This window comes from Homo sapiens, chromosome 2 (assembly GCF_000001405.40).
Source record: "Homo sapiens chromosome 2, GRCh38.p14 Primary Assembly".
NCBI classification, from domain to species: domain Eukaryota; kingdom Metazoa; phylum Chordata; class Mammalia; order Primates; family Hominidae; genus Homo; species Homo sapiens.
Window position 1 is genome coordinate 144,231,157 of NC_000002.12, and position 21,097 is coordinate 144,252,253.

At 35.8% G+C, this 21,097-nt stretch overlaps 1 protein-coding gene across 61 annotated transcripts in view, besides 2 other annotated features; it reads right to left on the reverse strand.

Moving 5' to 3' along the window:
* QTMAN (queuosine-tRNA mannosyltransferase) overlaps positions 1-21,097 on the reverse strand; it is a 395,002-nt gene that overhangs the window by 293,089 nt on the left and 80,816 nt on the right. For 50 of the 61 annotated variants that reach the window (NR_164799.2, NR_164804.2, NR_164801.2 and 47 more), the window contains one exon: positions 4,520-4,581. The exons of 5 other annotated variants lie outside the window; for them this stretch is intronic. The gene's annotated coding sequence lies outside the window, so the exon portion shown is untranslated. Of the gene's footprint in view, positions 1-4,519; positions 4,582-6,087; positions 6,184-13,628; positions 13,734-17,460; positions 17,544-21,097 lie in introns of those variants that run through there. 6 more of the 61 variants (NM_001354354.2, NM_001376319.2, NM_024659.6 and 3 more) reach the window with 4 other exon arrangements.
* Positions 8,266-8,345: a silencer, noted in NCBI's record as "silent region_11991". NCBI's record gives its function as "represses an Ori minimal core promoter by ATAC-STARR-seq in GM12878 lymphoblastoid cells {active_cell/tissue: GM12878}" and the evidence as "EXISTENCE:reporter gene assay evidence [ECO:0000049][PMID:35858748]".
* Positions 9,793-9,872: an enhancer, noted in NCBI's record as "active region_16601". NCBI's record gives its function as "activates an Ori minimal core promoter by ATAC-STARR-seq in GM12878 lymphoblastoid cells {active_cell/tissue: GM12878}" and the evidence as "EXISTENCE:reporter gene assay evidence [ECO:0000049][PMID:35858748]".

Sequence of the window (21,097 nt, forward strand, 5' to 3'; positions counted from 1 at the left end):
TTTGACACTAAAGTATGTACCATATGGTTAAGGGAAGATTACTCATTTTGACCACATAAACTTAAAAATCACTATTTGTTATTACATTACCAATATTTGATATCAAACAAGACATTCAAATCATCTCCCCAAGAGTCATGTTTGAAACCTATATTGACATTCAAATGAAATGAAGTACTAGTTATAATTATAAACTTGATACTTAATATAGTAAAATCCTAGTTAAAATAATCAACAGTGTTTATTCAATTTTGCTGTTATCTCTTAATAAATTTTTCTCCATGTTTTTACAAATATAATGATTAAGTTACTATATTATATTCCTAAAAAATATATAATGTCAAACTAAAAAGATAATAGCTTTGCTATGTGTTCTGAATTAAAACTATACAATTTATTGTCTATAAATTCTATTCTACAAAAATGAAAAACTCAACCGTATTTACCAAAAAACTGCTTAAACATTATGGCTCTTAAATATTTCTCCTATGCCTCTGTGTGTAGTTAGAATAAATAAATAGGACAATTCACATTGTCCTAAATCACTAAAAGATATATTCTTACCACAGAAAAAATAAAGGGTTTCACTGCAAATAAAAATTAAACCACTGCAGAAAGTGTATTTAAAGTCACTGAATAGTGGTTAATATGCAATAAACATTATTCACTATACACAGAATGAAAGAGGTGTGTGTGTGTGTGTGTGTGTGTGTGTGTGTGTGTGTGTGTGTGTGTGTTATCTTTACTCGCTAATGTTAACATTATCAGACCTTGGCACAGGGGATTCAAGACAGTCATGAACTTAACTGGATCAAGTGAAAAAAGTTTCGCTGGCATGCCTTCGCAAAACTGTCAGAATTCAGAAGTTTAAAATGTTGACCTAAAGATTTAATTCATATAACTTAACAGGCATCCCACCCAGATTCATTTTAGTAGCTCTGCATAAAAAAAGCCACTTTGCAAGTTTAAAAAGATAGCATTGGGAGCAATGGGGAACTGTAGCATTTATTACATGTGTATTATGCATACAAAGCAATTTGAATATTTGTTTGTTTTGCTAAAGTAGTGAACCAATATGTTGCTGAGCCTGTTCTGAATGAGAGAAAATAACAGGTGAGTTTATTTAATGCATACTGCTGATACACCTCTGTTTTACAAATCCTTTTAATAATTTTAAAGTGTTTTCTAAATTAAAAATAAATCCCCGCAAAAGAAACAACTGTTAGATTGCACAATTTTATCTTAAAGTACCCATAATAGATGTATTTCCCAGTATATATGGCATATAAAAATGTTTCACATTAATAATTCAAACATGAGCCACTGTTTACTTCCTTTTCAGTCACATTTGTTACACTGTTACAAAAATACATGAGTTTTTCTTCTCAAAGTAATTTTCTTATTGCCAAAAATCATTGACAATTTTTAAAATAAAGATCAGTCAAAATAATATCAATCTCCTTCTATAAAAACATATTCTGACTATTAACTGTTCTTATCTTGATTGCAAAACTAATTTTTAAAATAGATCACTCTAAAAAATCTAATTTTAAAAATAGATCACCTGAAAGTAAATCATTTGTTTTGCTTAATACAACAGAAAACATATTTACATTGTGAGGAACATTCTACGAAATTTCATCGAATGCTTGCTCATAGTGAAAATCTAGTCTCCTGCTCAAATCATCTCTTTAAAATTCATTATGCCACATTTTCACACTCCTAATGGTAGGGCACTAACTATAATTTTGCAAGAATTGGTAAACTTAAAAACACTTCTGTGTTTTACCTTGCATTTTTTATTTCAAAGGAAAAATATTTTAAATGCACATCCTTTATTTTAATGGAAGTTCACTTGCTTATCTACCAAGACTTATCAGACACTCTAAAAGTGAGTATTCAATTTGTAAAAGACATGAACTGACCCTGAATTTTAGACAAAAATAGAAAACAATGGCAGACATTTTGGTCTCAACAAGAGATACCTTGGCATAAAAATCCATATAATAAAGGCAAATATCACTCAAAAGTTTCCATTCAAATAATAAATTCTGAAGCAGACAAGATTCCAACCAATAAAAAATACTGTGTCAACATGACCAAAGTTAGCAATAGTAGCAAAAATGCAACTGTAAAGAAAATATCTAAGAGAGTGGAAAAGGCAAATTTAGCACCAACTTCTATAAGGAACAAAGCCACTTACTAAATGTGGAAGTTGTAAGGGGAATGATATTTCTATTTCAGAAAAAAATATTTCTTTTCACAATGGTGGTCTGTGTGAAGAAAGAGGAAGAGAAGAGGGGGAAATAATGGTGTAAGTGGGAAAGACTAAGGCTGCCTGCCTTCCTTCGGTGATGCTGTGAGGGTAGACCCTCTGCCTTACAAAAACCACTGCCAGAACCAAGCTACACAAAACATTTTGGCTGCAAGCCTATAACAGTGCCAGGCTGTTTTTCATTTTTGTGCTAGACTCGCTCAATTGAGACAGTGTAGGATTGTCACTTTGATGCACATAGAGAACAAAGAATGATATAGTTTGGGGGGGATTTTCTTGCCCCTTTAAAGTCAGGTTAGCATTTTGTTTTCTTTGACAGGTCTTGAAAAGACCCAAGAAACAAAGTTATGCCGAAGAATGCATTAACTGCCTAACAAAATTAATGTCAAGTACAATACTGTCAACAGTTTAAAAACCATGTGAGAGATTAACATTTTTTAAAAAACAGACTTAAAAAGGGTCCAAGTCATATAGTTACCTGTTTAAGAGGCCAGAGACCAAGAAATACATGATTCACAATCACATAATCTTATTTAAAAATCTGATGCCACAAAGGCAGACCATAAAATCCAGGCCAAAAAAAAAGAAGTATTATAATTTTTAGGTCACTATTCAGAGACAACTGTGTCAGCTGCTATTCTGACCTTGATTTCTCCAAAATTAAATAATCTGATGAAAAGATTATAACATTAGAATCTGAATACTTTAAGCCTTCACAGAGAAAGAGGTGATAAGTGATCAAAAATGTTTAAAGAATTAAACCACAAATCATCGAAAAAGTTGCCACAGACACAAACAGGAAAACCGTCTCTTCAATCCTATTCAATTCTGTACTAGAAGTGAAGCTAACACAAATGAGAAAGCCAAGTGTGTGCTGCTGCAACCTTCAACTAAATATACTATCTGAATCTGGTGACTAAAAGACACCAATAAGCCATTAGCTCCTAGATGTATGACCTTTTTTCTTTCTAATGCACAAGATAAGTAAAGGGAGAGGTCTATTTTCTACAAACCAAATGAAAAGAAAGAATGAACTGTGTCAGCTCAGATCCCATGCTGGCATATTTTACACTAAGCTCAGCATCATCTAGAAGCAGTATGCTTCTCCCTGCCAATCAGAAGGGAAAAAAGTTGTGCAACTAATACAGTGTTGATAAATAGAACCAAACGTCTACTAGTCCTTTCCTCCTGCACAATGCCATTGAATCAGCTGTTAAAAGAAGACCAATAGCTGTTATAGAAATAGCAAGAACTGAAGCACTTGCCTCAGATGTTATACATGGAGACATGGAGCATTTACCACCTGAGCCTATCTAATTTCCGGCAAAAGGATCCCCTGCCCAGTTTTGTTCACGGCCACAGAATCTGATAACAAGTCACGATCTGTGTTGAGAAAGGCAGTGGGGGAGTGAGAACATGGGGAAGGAATCAAGTGAGAACAGTGGGCAAACTTCAAACAATATACACGCTTCTCTTATTATTCAAATTAGTGCCCATGCACAGCACTTTAGGATGACAAAAGCTGTGTTAAAGGGCTCAGGTACAATGATTTACTTTGGCTGGTAAGGGTAAGTCTGCCATGTAATTAAAGAATGCATTATTTTGCTCCTCGCTGCTCGCCTTTTATATTTCTTTTTTCTCTAGGACATACTGCTGATGGTATTACTGCATGGGACACTGATAGTTGCAGGCAAGGCATTCATGTAGTGCCAAAGTAGTCCAGAGAATGATGTCTGGCTGGCCTTAGTTCAACAAGGAATATGAGGCAAAAACAGAAAACAAAAAGAATGAAAGGTGTAGAAGAAGCCAGGCAATAGACTGATTTTCTGTTTATTAATGGTACCATAAAACGAGGGGAAAATCTGGAAAAGGCAGCCAAGCTAACTCAATTACAAAGAAAGATTAAAGGAGTTAAATGTCTATAACTTGGCTGACAACCAAGGAACAATATGAGAGCTGTCCACAACTCTCCAAAGAATATACATTAAAAGAAAAGTAGAGAATTATTATCTACTATAGATGTATGAATACATGAAATAATAATGAGATAAAAATGAAGAAATCTGACTTTAAGCAGCAGGGAAATAATCTGGTGAAACTTAAAAAAGGCTGCTTCCTTCTCTTTAGAAATATCAATCATCTTACTGACCCACACTGCAGTAAACAAGACATGATAGAAAATGCCCGCATATTGCCACAGGACGGAATTGATGGAGATATAAAAATGAAGTCCCATCTGCTTACCTGATGATCCAGATATACTGATGTCCCTTTACATATGTCCAATCTGGCTAATGCAGAGATACCTGTAAGATCACAAAAGACATAGTTAGTAACTTCAAAATAAACCCAGCCTGAATTCTCAATCTTGAGCTGGTCAAGAGCTGATTCGGATGATCTAGTCTGGCTCTTGGATATTCCAAGATGGGAGAAGAACGTGCAAGAACAGAAATTTTCTGAGTGCTTCTAAGGTTATTCTTAATTAATAAGAGATTTTCAGTCTCTCCAGAGATTTTCCAAATCATCTGTAACTCAGTAATAATAATAATTATTATTATTATTACTATTCAGATTAGAGGTGTTTAACCTTGGTCACTGGATGGCCTTCAGGAATCTATGCACTCCTGAATGATATATGTAAAATTTGTGGGTTTATGTAAATAAGTATCTCTGGGAGAAGGTCAATAGTTTGTCAGATTTGCCAAAAGGTCTATAGTCCAAAAAACTGTCAAGAACCTCTGCTGAGGCTTGCCTAACATCTCAGAGGCAGGTTGGAATGCATATGGATGAGCATTCCAGGTTTGGGGGTTCCCTCCCAGAGAAACACAGACACTTGCAGATCTGGGGTAAATACCTTAAGAATACTACTTTCTGGGAGAGCAATACATCAGGTTTAAACTGTTGCTTAACTCACACAGTCCTGTGATCCCTGTAAGCCATGCACAGTCTTGAAGAGAACTAACATGTTACCATATATACCCAAGGGTGCCTATCATGACTTTTCCTGTTCTGTGTATATTAAAGTCAGGATTCCTAAGAATATCAATTCTGACAGGGTCAGAACTCACACAGTAACTCATCCAAAAAGGACCATTTATGACAAGGAAACTTTTCCTGTTCTGTGTATATTAAAGTCAGGATTCCTAAGAATATCAATTCTGACAGGGTCAGAACTCACACAGTAACTCATCCAAAAAGGACCATTTATGACAAGGAAAAAATAAGGTGTGATCAAATCAATAGGAAATGTGGCTCCCAAACAGTCTACATAACAAAAAAATTACAGAATTAGCCAAACATATCTCTTAAAAGAATTACTTTAAATAGTAATCCCAGAGTCAGAATAGGCTACATCAGAAAGAAACAAGGTTAGAGAACCTTCCAGGTACCAACTGTGAACAAGATGGGAAAGCATTCACAGCCACAGAGAACATCCTGAACTGAGATGCCACCAAAAAAAAGGGGTGGGGTATAAGAAAAAGGCTGAAAAGACAGAAATCAAGTAGAAGAAGGGAAAAATTACCTTTTGTGGTGTCCTGTTTCAAATAATAATCATGTCGTATATATTCTCAAAAAATAACATATTTAGACAATCACCTTCTGGGCATTTACCACGCACTGCACTCAGTGCTGAGGACTCAGCAGTGAACAGGTCAACAAAGCCCTATTCTGCTGAAGCTTTACTTTGGGGAATGGGAGAAGGATGCAGGGTGACAAACAAGTATATCAGCAATATTTCAATTTGTGATACATGATATGAAAAAATAAACAATAAGATGTGACCAAGACATGAGACAGCAGCCTATACCCACCCAGCATGTCACAGAAATCTTCACTCCAATCTCAGAGTATGTCAGGGTCTTAAAGAGTTGAGACCAGGAAATGACGTTAGGGACAGCTAGCCAGACCTGTGAATTTCAGAGATGAAGACAGAGTAGCTATTCTAGAAGACAGTATCACTACCTCATTATCTCTACACTTCAAAATACATATACCTAGATTGAATGATAATGTTACGATACAAGCTCTGCTTGTAGAATATAAACCTGACAACAAGTAAATGAACAGCGTTTCGTTATCTCTTTAAAACCTGGCTGACAATACTGCACACTGTGTACCCTTAATATAAAGAACCACGTTCTATCCAAATTCTTGTCAAGTTCCATTCTATTAAAAGAATTTCATTTTTTGCTTCCACAGATAAATCCGATCAACTTGTGCTGTCAAAGAAAGGGGAGAAGAGGGTACAGGTAGCCAGCCTCCAAGACAGCCCCCAATAATCCTCACCTCAAGGAATTCATGCCTTTGTGTAATCCCTTTGCTCATACCAGGGTTGGTCTGAGTGATCAACAGAATGCAGTGAAAGTGACAGTGTCTGTCCTAAAAGATATTACAGCTTCTTCCTTACTCTCTTGGATCTTCCTGGGGGAAGCCAGCTGCCAGCTGCCACGTTGTGAGGACACTCAAGCCATCCTAGGGAAAGGTACACAAGGCATCTTGCCAAATAGCCAGAATCAACATAACAGCCATGTGAGAGAGCCATTTTCTAAGCAGATCCTCCAGGCTAGTCTAACTTTCAAATGACTGTCACTCTGGCTGACATCTTGATTGCAGCTTATGAAAGACCAAGAGCCAGAATTACCCAGGCTGCACTCCAATCCCTTTCTAGCATGCACTCTAACTTCCTGTATTCACAAAGCTCAAGCTAAAAACATTTCTCAGATGCTCTTGCATCACGCCTTCCACAGGGAACCCAGGTTCAACCAAATCCATTCAAAATTTAGAAAGCAGAAATGAGCAAATCAAGGAAGTAGCCAACTACAAATGAGATCAAATTTTGTAGTGAAGGCATTTTGTTCTTCTGAAACAACTATGTAGATATGCTACTAAATGATCCCTAGTCTCATAGACTCTAAGTAGCAAATGGCAGTGGAGTTTTCTACTAGAATAGTATCATGGGGTGTTTCTCATGGCTTGTGCTGTTCCTAGCTATTCACAGTCAACTTTGGTTCCTTGGCACTTCTGCAAATTAAGTAGCATGTGATACATCTCTGTATGCAACTCAAACTAGCTGTTGCCTGCAACTAAGAACCCACTCTACATATGAAAATTCTCCTGTCTCATAACACTTTCATTCCTATCTCATGGTTGACCCTCTTTTCCATTATGAAACCCTCTACCTGTACAATGAATCCTATTCATTTATGCTGTTTCTAGGAACGTGCACTATCTGGTTTCTCCCTTTCTTCTCCACTGCTTTCTTCTCCTTCATCAATAACACAGTTCTTCCAACCCTACCAACTATCCCCATGAAAAAATAATAATATAAGCTCGTTGTTTTTGCTTCAACTTCCATTCAATGCTTGAATTACCATAACTTGGCTTCCTTAGCCATCACTCTACCAAAACCACTATTGCTAAGGCTGGCAAGAACCAATTACTTATTCTCATTCCTCACTCTACTAGACTGTGGCATTGGCACTCCTACCCACCACACCTCTTTGAAACTTTAATGATAACAAGATTATAAACCTCCAGCCTCAATGAAAGAATCTAGCATCCCACCTTCACACATCATCATCACCCATGCCCTCTGCACTTCTGCCACCAGAGACATACAACAAATAGGCATACAGAGACCATTTCAAATGCTAAGGCTATTCGAATATTCTATTTCTTGAGGGCCTAACTGCTTAGACAACCAAAAAGACAGATATACGCACTGTTAAAAAAAAGAAAAGAAAAAAAAGAAAAAAAAAAGAAAAGTGGATGCTACAAGCTATCAATATAGAAACGTATTTCATTATTTTCAGTTATTTAAGGAAAAATAAATGTTTGGAAGTCAGAGATTCCAAAAGAGCAATGCTACAAAACAAGTGTATAACCTCTTAAAACTAACTTCCCAAAGCTAAAAGTTCATTATTATTTGTTTAACACTTGCAAGCCAGAATATCTACAATTGCCAACCTAAGCTAGCATCCGTGAGTCCTCTTGTTTTGAATGTAAGGTTTTCTATGACATCTGTCATCTCACTAACCAGAAGTGATGCTGCTGACTTTGACTGGTGGGGGGTGGGAGGGGAGTTGACCCATTCCTTCCTCCCTGCTAAAGCTACAATCTCTCAAAAGGCTGGCCTCCCAGAATGATGTGAACTAAGCTTCTTTGGTTAGGGGTGTACCCAGCCCTTTTCTTTAAACTGCTCAGAAGACAGAACTTTTCAGAAAACCCACAAAAAAATGGCTTATTTTCATTAATTTGCTTTGTATTGCCATCATTCATTGTCTTCATTTTTAATTCAGTGATATTTATAGCCAAATGAAATGAAGTACAGTCAGTTTTCCTCAATCTGTCTCAGTCTACTCTTCATCTTCTGGGACCCAATTCATGTGATCCTTTAACAACTATTTATTTCACACCAAACTAGTTATCTCCCTAAAGCCTACCAATCTAGCCTCTGGGCATATTTCCTAAATAAAAGCATTAGATCTCTGTAAACCTAAAATTTGCATACTAAAGGAACAAATCAGCTATCAAAAGGCCTAGTAGTATATAGCAGTTGCTCACCGCTAAGCAGAGTTTAAAATTCATTTCAATTTATTATTTTTTAAAGAAACAGCAATTGACTTCTTCCCTTTGCAAAATGCAGTTTAATGGGCCTAGTTAAATTAGAGGTAATAGTGTAAAGCAAGTGTTTTAAATTGGTAAATTCTAAACCTTTTAATAAAAGTACATCAGTCAGAAGTTTTAATAAGACTCAGCAGGACAGAGAAGAATTAACAGTCTGTAGGAATCAAAAGGGGTGATAGGCAATGATAACCTTAAACATTTGCATAGGGATTTATAATTTCATTGCTTAAAGGTTAATGAAATTATGTGGTATTTTGCCCACTCTTATCCAGTAAATGATTTCATGCCTTGATTTGTATATATTTACCAACTGAATCCTATAAAGAAAAAATGACTCCTTTATCAATTAATCTACGACATTTTTACTTATACACTTCTGGGTGCACAATTATCATTACCTATTCTAACCAATAACTGGGTCCTCTAAAACACAATGTAAGGTTTCCAAAGCATCTCAGAAAAAAGAACAAAATCAGAATTCTGAAAGTACATTAAATTGTAATGTGACTGCTTTTTTAAAAACTAGATATATTCCTTTATTTACTTTATACTTCAAGTCTACTATTGCTAAATACTGGCTTTTGCCAAATATTAACATAAAATCCACCCTAGAGATTGATGAAGGCATTCAGGATACACTGAGGGTGAAGATGGAGAAATGCAAACAGTCCACACAAACAAGTAGAACAGGTTAAAACAGTAAAAGGATTCTAGGCCAAAGCAATTGTTTTAAAACATAACAGCATAAAAACGACACACTACTGAGGCCTTGCCTCACTGAGCACCCAGGAGGGTGCAGGGTCAGCTGCTTCACTTAATACCCAGTTCTAAGAAAAAAACTGCAAAGAGCCTCACTTAAGCAGAGTGGTGCTTCCTACCCTGGCTGCACGTTAGAATCCCCTGGATAGCTTAAAACAAAAACCTAAAAATCCACACTTAGGCCCCATAACCAGAGATTCTGGTTTCATCAATAATTTATAGACACTACTCAGGGTGATTTCTTGATTTCTTAGGTGCAACTAGGGTTGAGAAATATGCCAGAAAGCACTGGTTCTCGAAGTGTGGTCCCTGGACCAGTAGCAGCAGCAACAGCAACAGGAAACATGTTTGAAATGCAAATTCTCAGGCCTCACCCCAGACCTAGTGAACCAGAAACTCTGGAGTGGGGCCCAGTGTTTTAACAAGTCTTTCAGATAATTCTCAGATGCACTATGTTTGAAAAACACTGCTTTAGAGTAAGAATGGCCTGGTTTTCAATTTTCTCTCCACAATTTACTAGCTATATGACCCTTGGTCAGCTCTCTAAACTTCTTCCCTCACATGCAAAATAAAAGAGTTAGCTACCATTTCTTTAACGTCGAATGTGTGCCAGGGTATGCCAATAAGCACTTTATATACATTATATAATTTAACCCTTACAGGTTTGTCAGATAGATATCATTACCATTTTACACCAAAAGATGATGAACCTCATCCAATATCACAAACTAGTAAGCAGAATCAGAATTTAAACTCAAGTTTTTAAAATTCCACAATTACTGCTCTTTCCCTATTCCTCAAAATATTCTTGCTGATCTTTCTTTTTTATTCTTCTTTCCTTTCTTTTCTTCTGTTTTGTCTTCCTTTCTTTCTGTCCATCTTTCTTTCTGTCTTCCTTTCTTTAGGAGGAAGCTTATCTTGTTACTATAAAGCTAGATATTACCTAGTGTGTAAGTGTGTACAGTATTTACTATGTGACTACAAAGTACTTAGCATTCTACCACATGCCAGAAAGAAAAGAATTAAAATACAAAAAAAAAAATGAAAAGAAAGAAAGAAATCATAGTAACGAAGCTATGAGCTAGCTGGAGATAGATCCATTTTGCAAAACATAGGGACACATATGATTTCATTCTTAACTGGCAGGTGGAAAACAGAAATAACTCAGAAATTCATGAGATTGGAGCTCAGAGACCAAGGCATGACACCAGGAAGTGGAAGTTTGACTTGCTCTGAAACAAGGAGTAAAAAGTTTCTCCAGCACAGGAGGAGAAAAAACAGCTAGAGAATATAGCACAATAGAAAATAAAGCTAAAGTAGTTAAATGGGTCCAGATTGTGACTCAGAATAAGAAGAGCTTAACTTTAGTACAGTAAAAGTATAAAATGTTTTTTCACAGAATATTTTTGATGAACTGATAGTAAAGAGATAAAGTTAAAATCAAGTCATAGGAACTTATCCTAGAAAAAATATGAACCAAGGGTTATGCTGAAAAAAAAACAAGCAGGAGAAAAAGTTACTTCTATTATTAAAAGTGTTAAGTGTGATCCACTCTTTACTGTTTCCATGGGCTATTCATATCCATTACATAATATTTTCAATCATCCACTAATCCAACCAACACTGACTGATCACATTAAGCTAGGTATCAAGGATAAAAAGTAAGCTTCTGACTCAGGGCACATGGAGCAGCTTTACATAAGAAACAGACTGCCAAATGTTTTATGCAACATTAACATAAAGTTATTAGGAATTCCAAAGGCCACTATAGACAGACCAATTGTTAGCAATGACTGTTGTGAAATTCCCGAAAGTCAATGAAGTATAAGCTAGCCAAAATGTTATGCATATAAAATATAAGAGGCCAGGCGTGGTGGCTCACGCCTGTAATCCCAGCACTTTGGGAGGCCGAGGCAGGTGGATCACTTGAGGTCAGGAGTTCGAGACCAGCCTGGCCAAGATGGCAAAACCCCGTCTCTATTAAAAATATAAAAATTAGCTGGGCTTGGTGGCATATGGCTGCAGTCCCAGCACTTTGGGAGGCTGAGACATGAGAATCACCTGAACGCAGGTGGCAGAGGTTGCAGTGAGCCGAAATTGCACCACTGCACTCCAGCCTGGGCGACAGAGCAAGACTCTACTTAAAAAAAAAAAAAAAAAAAAAAAAAGAGTATTCTGCCTATACTACCGTACTAGCATCATAATCATCACCTCACAAATGGAGTAACCCCAGTTAATCCACATTTAGGCTTACATATGGCTAAAAAAGGCAGGCAAACATAAAATCTAGAGGTAAGCTTTAAATATTCACATCACTCATTCCATTTTGTGCTGAAGAGCTAATCAAAAACTACGCTCAGAAACTCACAGGAAGATTCTACCTATGTATTGAGGAAAAACTGCAAGGTACAATGGGATGACTGCATTTATTAGCATCTAAGGTTTCTAACTCTGTCAATGACAGTCCAATGCTGTATAACATCTTCTTCTTTAGTTTTACTGTAATCTGACAACTCCATAATGCCCATTTATCTCCAAGAACCAATTTAAGATGCATGTATGTATGGCCATCAGACTATGCTTGAATAACAAGGCACTACTAGGGTTATTTTTTCTCAGAATAAATGTGAATGGAATTTGCTATGATATTAGGAATGATAGCATTTTGCAAACAATATAATTTAAGAAACAGTAATGAAACTCTATTGAAGCTGTTTATTAATAACCTACACAAATATAATCAAAGAACTGAATCCCAGCTGTTAGAAACGACTTGAAAGGTCACTTGGTAAAATACTAGCTTTTATCCCTTATGGTATCTAGACCATATATAGTGTTAAAATTAAAACAATGATATCAAAAGGCATCCAAGTACTTTAAGTGATAATTTATCTGGCCCCAATATATCCAACTCATATATACTACTGTATTTTACTAAAGTTCAATCGCCTATCATCTCATTCTTTAATAATATAAACTATATATGACAATGTGGCAGGACTAAAAGATTGGTACTTGACTGGTTTAATTTCAATAAAAGTGATTGGTACAAAATCATCTTTTAAAATATTCAGACCATGCTATACAGATATTCACATGCACTTGGATCTATAAGCATTAAAGAACTTGTTTAGATTTACTGGCGCTATACCTGCTGTCAAGAAACAAAAAAGTTGTAAAGGGTGATCAAACACATCTTTGCCTCAAGTATCATGTGAATGTTTTCCACTAAGGCGGTCCTAAAAGTTAACAGTCAAAGTAATTCAAAGGTTTCTCTTTATTTCTATATTCAAATCATCACAAGTTTGATCAAGCATGCAAATCCCTTTGGGCTCAGGGTTCCCATCAAAATGTCTTATAGAAACATTAAAAATTGAATGGGCATAAACAACTCCAACAGTGCGGAGCTCATGACAGCACTGCTGTGATCTACGTGTTTCATGTACAACAACATTGGGGAAGTTTGCAAGGGAAGATGAGCAACTAATTACTGTCTTTTGCTTGAGGGCAGGTGTGCTGATCTCTACAGGTGTCTCTGCAGTGCTCTGCCTAATGTATTGCTTCTTGGAGACATTCACTGTAACAACTTGCTAAAGCCCTGCAAAACATCTGACAGAATACCAAACTGTTGGGTGTTCAGGAAGAAACATGTGTGACTTCTTAAAGTTAGCACTAAGGAGAAACAACAGTTGGGGGAGGCTTTGTATTTTTTGTGAAAGAATAATATAAAAAGTAAGTAACATAAAACTATATCAGTCACACACATTAAACTAGGATACTAATATTGTCTTAGTAAGTACAGAAAGTTTTTCAAAGAAAATTCGGCTATTCTCATTAAACAAGAATTTTTTTTAAACGCAAATAATAATCTTATAGTGGACCATCATTTTCATTTGTGAAAGCACAGTAGACAATGCACGGTGTTCAGTTTTATAAGGATCAAAAAAAAATCTGAGAAATTACTCACTATAAGAAATTAGTAAATTAGATGGTCATCTGATGATAGGACAGGTGAGAAATACCGTTCATATGTGATGCCACTACAGGATTAATATTCCTTAAGATCTTTCCTATAACGTGGAAAGAAGCAAGCTTAAGAATGAAGAGATACACAAAGCAAAGATAAACATTCCCTGCTTTGCTGCCTGCTACATGCATGATCTCAGACAAGAAATGTAACCTCTTTATGCTTCAATTTTCTCATCTAATAATAAACAACACCCACCCCAATAGGGTTATTATTAAATGAGACAGTGTCCCTTCACTATTTGGCACAGGGCTTGGCATGAGTAAGTGCTTAATAAATTGTAATTAGCATCATGAAAGTTTCCAAAAGACATTAGTCTCCTATCATTAGTGGAGCATCAGCCTGTCTAAAAGCATCTTGGAAAGTAAAGACTCATCAGTGGGATGTTATTTTCAAAATATGTGATATGTCATATGGTACATCTTTTTAAGTATAAATACATAGCCTGGCTTTTGAGAAATCCATCAGTGACAAACATGCAACAAAACCTTTAACTAGTTCTTTACTTTTTCTGAGTGATCATTCATCTTGGTGAAAAGTCTCTGTTTGTAATGTTGAAAATTTGTGGAAAAGTTCATTGTTTTCAAACAATAATGAAAAGTATCATACTATTTCAAACTTTATCTACTTAAGAAAGACTCTGGTAAAATCAAAGTTAACATTTTCAGGCAACGAATCTGCTCAGAATAAGAAAATGCTAGGAAATGACAATATAAGATATATACAAATTATTTTCATCTACAATTCTCTATTTGTGTTTTTCTTTAACCAAATAGAATTAAGATGGTATTTCATTCAGATCATCATTACTATTAATCATCAGCTGTGTAAACAAAACATCATTCAACTTTTAAAAAATCAATAAAGCAAGAGTTAAAATTGTTTCAGACTATTCTGGAATGGACCAAGAAGGGAAAAAATTTAAAGTAAGAAGTGTAATAAATATATAAAAATAACATAGCATTTCCAAAATTAAAAATAATTAGACTCATGGGAATAATCGGAATATAATTATTTGAAGTAGTATCCCTCCCTCTCCCAGTAGATTAGTTCATCATATGCTCATTTCTTCAAACCTAGGCATTGAAATAACCTTCTGTTCTCTCTCCTTTTAATCCTTTCTTCCTGGTATCCATTCTGCAGTTTTCAATGGCACCTCAACCACCAGGAATGTTAAGAACTGATCTACTGTACTTCCCTTAACACAGACCTAATTATGTCACTTCCTCCAACCCCAAAGATGTAGTCTAATGGGGGAGACAGGCATATAGATACATAAAAATGTGTGTGTACATATATGAGTACATATGCACATGGGCACATGTAAAGTATTAATACTAAGGGAGGATAAATCAGAAGCCAATTCATTTTGCCTGCCATAAGCCAAAGAAAGTTTCACATAGCTGATGATAGCTAGGTGAAATAATGCCTAGAAAACAAATTTAAAGGCCGGGCGCGGTGGCTCACGCCTGTAATCCCAGCACTTTGGGAGGCCGAGGCGGGTGGATCATGAGGTCAGGAGATCGAGACCATCCTGGCTAACAAGGTGAAACCCCGTCTCTACTAAAAATACAAAAAATTAGCCGGGCGCGGTGGCGGGCGCCTGTAGTCCCAGCTACTCGGGAGGCTGAGGCAGGAGAATGGCGTGAACCCGGGAAGCGGAGCTTGCCGTGAGCCGAGATTGCGCCACTGCAGTCCGCAGTCCGGCCTGGGCGACAGAGCGAGACTCCGTCTCAAAAAAAAAAAAAAAAAAAAAAAGAAAAGAAAAGAAAACAAATTTAAAGCTCCATATATGGGTCTCCAATATAGAGTCTCAATTTACTGTGTTCCAACTATATCCCACACTCTCCTCACATGGACATAGATGCCTTCATTCTCTTACCACAGTGGACAACCTGCTGTCACCTGGCTTTTCGAGTCCCTCTGCCTTGAATCTCCTCTTCATCCTCCTCATCTTTACAGTTTTTAAAATATGACATCCTTATACCCAGACATTCTTCTACTCAGTTTTCTTCTACAGTTAAAGGAATCAAAAATGCTTGGACTTTGCAAGAGCAAGCTGGAAGACAATGGAACATAAGCATTTCCTTCCAAAAACCTATAGGAAAGTTACTTCCAACTTAGAATTTAATTATTCAAGCAAATTATCAATCAAGTGAGAAAACTGAATAAAGATATTTTTTCTGTCACAAAACCTTTCTCAGGAATACTACAGGAAACATAAACAAAAATGTAAGAGTAAGACAAGAAGGAAAACACTATGAGATCCAAGAAAAGGCAAAGGAAGTTCCTAGGTTAAGAGCAAGGAAAAATCCCAGAAGAGGCAGGTCTAGAGAATGTAATGGGAGGAGAATGGAAGTGTGCTGGAAGAATGTCTTCAAGAAAAAAATTGAAATGTATTATCTGATGCAATTCCCTTTATGGAAAATTATAAGTAGTTCATAGAAGGTATAGGAAGAATTATTAAGAGGGACAAAAAGCAAAGCAAATGAAAAAACAAGGCATTATTAATTTCATGAAATACGAAAAGTCAGAAGCAAACTTTTCATCAGAATTAATTACAATATGCTCATCTATGAATAATAGCTACATAATATAATAATGCAACACTAAGCCAAAAATTGGAATCTAACTATACTGGGAATGTGAGGGAAAGAGATGGCTGTGTAATAGTGAAAAATCTTCAAAGACCATAACATAAAGTCAACAATGTCTAAAATAAATTAACTCAAAAGATAGCAATGTGTATATATGTAATTTAGCAATGTGGAGATATATAATGACTAGAGGAAACAGATAAAAGGCTGCCTCTAGAGAAAGGACCACAGTATTTTCCTTTCTTTTTTTTGACAGGGTCTCATTTTCATATCCCAGGCTGGAGAGCAGTGGCACAATTTCAGTTCACTGCAGCCTTGACTTCCCGGGCTCAGGAGATTCTCCCACCTCAGCCCCCACCCTAAGTAGTTGGGACTACAGGCACACGCCACCACACCTGACTAATTTTTTGTTTTTTGTTTTTGTTTCTTGGTAGAGATGGGGTTTCACCATACTGCCCAGGCTGGTCTCGCACTCTTAGGCTCAAATGATCCACCGGCCTTGGCCTCCCAAAGTAACAGGATTACAGATGTGCACCACTGAGCCCAGCCACCACTGTATTTTCTAATAGGCCTTTAACAACTATTCAAATGTTAAACTAGGTGAATGTATTACTTTGGCAAAATAAGTTTTAATTTAAAAGAAACAGTCATGTTCATGAAGATGTTTCTGACAGTGTTTTACGTAATAGTAAAACACAGAAACAATCTAAACGGTCAGCAATAGGTGACTAGTTAAATAAATTACATTTTATCTGTGATAGTTAAAAAGACTATGTAGTCATTTTAAATGATGCTGTAGAAAAATATTTAGTGGACATGGAGAAATGTTCATATTATAAAATAAAAAAATGACAGGTCAAAAACAGCTAAGAACAAAACAATGAAATATACATGAAAATATGAATGGTAATTTTAGAATTTTTTTCTCTCTGTGCTTTTCTGGTTTGCTGAATTTTCTAAAGTAAATGCAGCTTCAGAAACACAAAGAAAATAAATTAAAATTGTAATGCAACTCATCACTCATGGCGCTATTTAAATAGCGTCACCTAATGATGGCCAAGCTAGAATTAACTCCTCCCTCCCAATGCAGTTTACACATGCCACTATCAGCACAGCTGCACAACCTGCTTTGTATCGCAGGTAACTGTTTATGTCTGTTCTTGCATCTGACTTACCCTGCTGAAGACAGGACAGTGTCTAACCCACCATTCAGTGTAGGCTGAATGGGATATGTCTGTGCTTCTGAAGACAATCCCCTAAAATGAGGAAATTCCAAAAACAATCTGAGTAAAGTCTTTTTTTAACTTAAAAAAAAAAAACAGAGTATTGACTGATTAGTTTTGAGAGGGATAATAGTCATATAAAATATAAGATCTCAGGTTGGTCGCTCTGATTGTTCTTCAGTCTCATCTCACATATACTGTCTCTCAAACTGACTCCTGAAACATTTTGTCCTTTGTCTGAAGCCTTCAGTGGGGCAGTGTTCAAATGTAGACCTTCAGGATTTCTTAACAGATCCATGTTTATCACCCCAAAATGACATTTACTTAAGAATTCAGTTTTTAGAACATTACTTACCCACAGTTTGACTATAGATAAATTTGGATTAGGATTATTTCTCTTTATGTGAGTGTAGGATTTCCAAATGAAGTCGAAATTTAAATGTTTAGTGGAGCAAACATGACTTTCATAATGTTTGGTTTTTATTTAGATCTAGTTTCAAAATGATTAATAAATGACGCAGCACAAATTCTAGAAACAGAACTTTTCTGGGCAAAACCAGAAAACGCTCATTTTTGTATGCAAAGGATTAACTCTTTTCTGTATGAAGGTATGAACAATCAGTACATTTTATTTTAAAAATCATAAAAAGATTCTACTATCCCATCCTAGTGGGGCTGTTTTATCCATGAGATCAACAGCTACTTTTCAGCACGCTTTCAGAATAGACCATGCATGTGTAAGAGGAGTCACAGAGAACAGAATGTTATGAAGTAAAGAGCTATTTATCCACCCTCACTTTCCCATCCCCAGAGGTCTGAGCAGGAGGGCATAAGGACAAGGCAAATGGCCTTTTACAGATTGAGGTTACACTGTCTACTGAGTGACAATTATATGGAAAAAGGACTGAATTAAAGTCTATGAATACAATAGGATCTGTACACTTTTATTCTTCAAATTGTTAATCAACATTAAAAATAAACAAGGAGGGAGGTAACTGCAAAAGGATACCTTGCTTTACAATATAATGTGCCATCAGTTGGTTTTACATATTGTTATATGTAATCCAGATTTAAATTATTACAGAGAGTGGACAACGCAGAAAACTCAAAACCAAAAATGTCAGGGATAATACCAACTGAACTTTATATGAGCATCTTAGAAATTTTAAGATAATAAAACATAAGGTTTATTTTACAAAAATTCACTTTACCATCAATTTTCGAAAAATATATCCTCTACAGTAAGCAAAATACATTCTTAAGAATTCTAGAAAATGTAAACCAATCTAAAATATAGAAAGCAGATCAGCAATTGTCTGGGAACAGAGATGGGAGACTGATTTCAAGAGGACACAAGAGATCTCTCTGGGGTGACAGCAATAAACAAATCATAAATGTGGTGGTGGTTGTAAAGCTGTATTCTTTTATCAAAACTTATCACACTGCCGTGGTTTTTGTGTTTTTTTTTTTTGTTTGTTTTTGTTTTTGTGAGATGGAGTCTCGCTCTGTCGCCCAGGCTGGAGTGGAATGGAGCCATATTGGTATCTTGGCTCACCGCAGCCTCCACCTCCCAGGTTCCAGCGATTCTCCTGCCTCAGCCTCCCAAGTAGCTGGGTTTACAGGCATGCACCATCATGCCCAGCTAATTTTTGTATTTTTAGTAGAGACAGGGTTTTACCATGTTGACCAGGCTGGTCTTGCACTCCTGAACTCATGTGCCTGCCCACCTCAGCCTCCCAAAGTGCTGAGATTACAAGCACGAGCCACCATGCCTAGCCCACACTGCCATTTAAAATGGGTAGTTTAAGTAATTTAGACCTGGATAAAATTGATATAAAAATATATCATAACAGTTGATTATATCTGATAATCATTATAATTTCCTAAAAACTTTTATGTAAATTTGTTACGTTTCTGACACAAGGTTAAACATACCATGAGTAAAAACCAGCTGTGTGAAAGTATTACTTTACACTTACCAGACATACTAACCTCTTAGTGAGATCAACACACTGCCATCCACACTATGCTTACTACACATTACTTTATATTACTGGTTAATTTTCCTGAATTGCTCTTTAAGGCCGAAAAAAAAAAAAAAAAAAAAACCTGTGCCATGTATTTATTAGCATTCCCCAATATCTAGCTCAATTCATTTCACAAATGTGCTTATTAGACACTGACTTACACCACGCAACACTTCAGAAAAGTAGTTATCTTTTCTTTCTTAGTAAAAAAAAGCAGCAAGTTCCAAACAATATTATTTTAGAAGATTAAAAGAAACTTTTTAAACTGTCATTTAAGTTTTAAAAATGTAAAATTTTAAAAGTTAAAATTTTATAAGTTAAAACATTATAAGTTTAAAATGAACTTATAATGAGCCATTTTGAACCCAAAATGAGCCACTTTGTATAAAAGTAGTTCTTTTAAAGTGGAAATATTACCATTTTCTTTATTTCCATTGTGACACTGTTTCCGCTGCATACAAATTTTGCTAAAATAATTACAAATAATGTATTTTTTAAAAAACATCACATTATCTCATACTTAACAGAAATTGGCTTGAGATAACTTGTTTCTCAAATCTTAACACTTAGTTTACTAATTATTATTTTAAAAATTAATTACACAGTAATCAAGACAGTGGGTATGGTGAAACAGACAAATAGATCAATGGAACAGAAGAGAGAGCTCAGAAATAGACGCACACAAATATAGTCAACTGATACTTGACAAAGGAGCAAAGGCAATTCAATGGAGAAAGGAGAGTCTCCAATAAATGATGTTGGAACAACTGGACATCTACATGTAGAAAAAAATGAATCTAGATGAAGACCTTACAATATACTTTACAAAAATTAACAAAAAATAGATCATAATGAAGACCTTACAATATACTTTACAGAAATTAACTCAAAATAGATCATAAACCTAAACATAAAACATAAAACTATAAACCTACTAGAAGAGAAATAAAAGAAATTAGATGATCTTGGGTTTTGCAGTGACTTTTTAGATATAACACCAAAAACATGATCCATGACAAAAAAAAAGTTGTTAAGCTCAACTTCATTAAAATGAAAAACTTCTGCTCTGTGAAAGACACTCTCAAGAGAATAAGAAGACAAGTCACAGACTGAGAGAAAATATTTTCAAAATACATATCTGATAAAGGACTGTTAGCTAAAATATATTTTTTAAAACTCTTAAAACTCAATAATAAGTAAACAAGCAATTAAAAATGGGCAAGGCCAGGTGCACTGGCTCACACTTGTAATCCCAGCACTTTGGGAGGTGGAGGTGGAAGGACTGCTTGAGGGCAGGAGTTGGAGACCAGCCTAGGCAACACAGTGAGAACCTGCCTCTATGTTTTTTTTTTAATGTGTAACATTAAAAATACAATTATTTAATGGACATATAAGCAGGCCACAGTGGCTCAGACTTGTAATCCCAGAATTTTGGGAGGCCAAGGCAGGAGGAATGCTTGAAGTGAGAAGTCTAAGACAAGCCTGGGCAACAAAGCAAGACCCTGTCTCTACAAAGAATAAATTTGAAAAAAGATTAGCCAAGCACAATGACACACACCTGT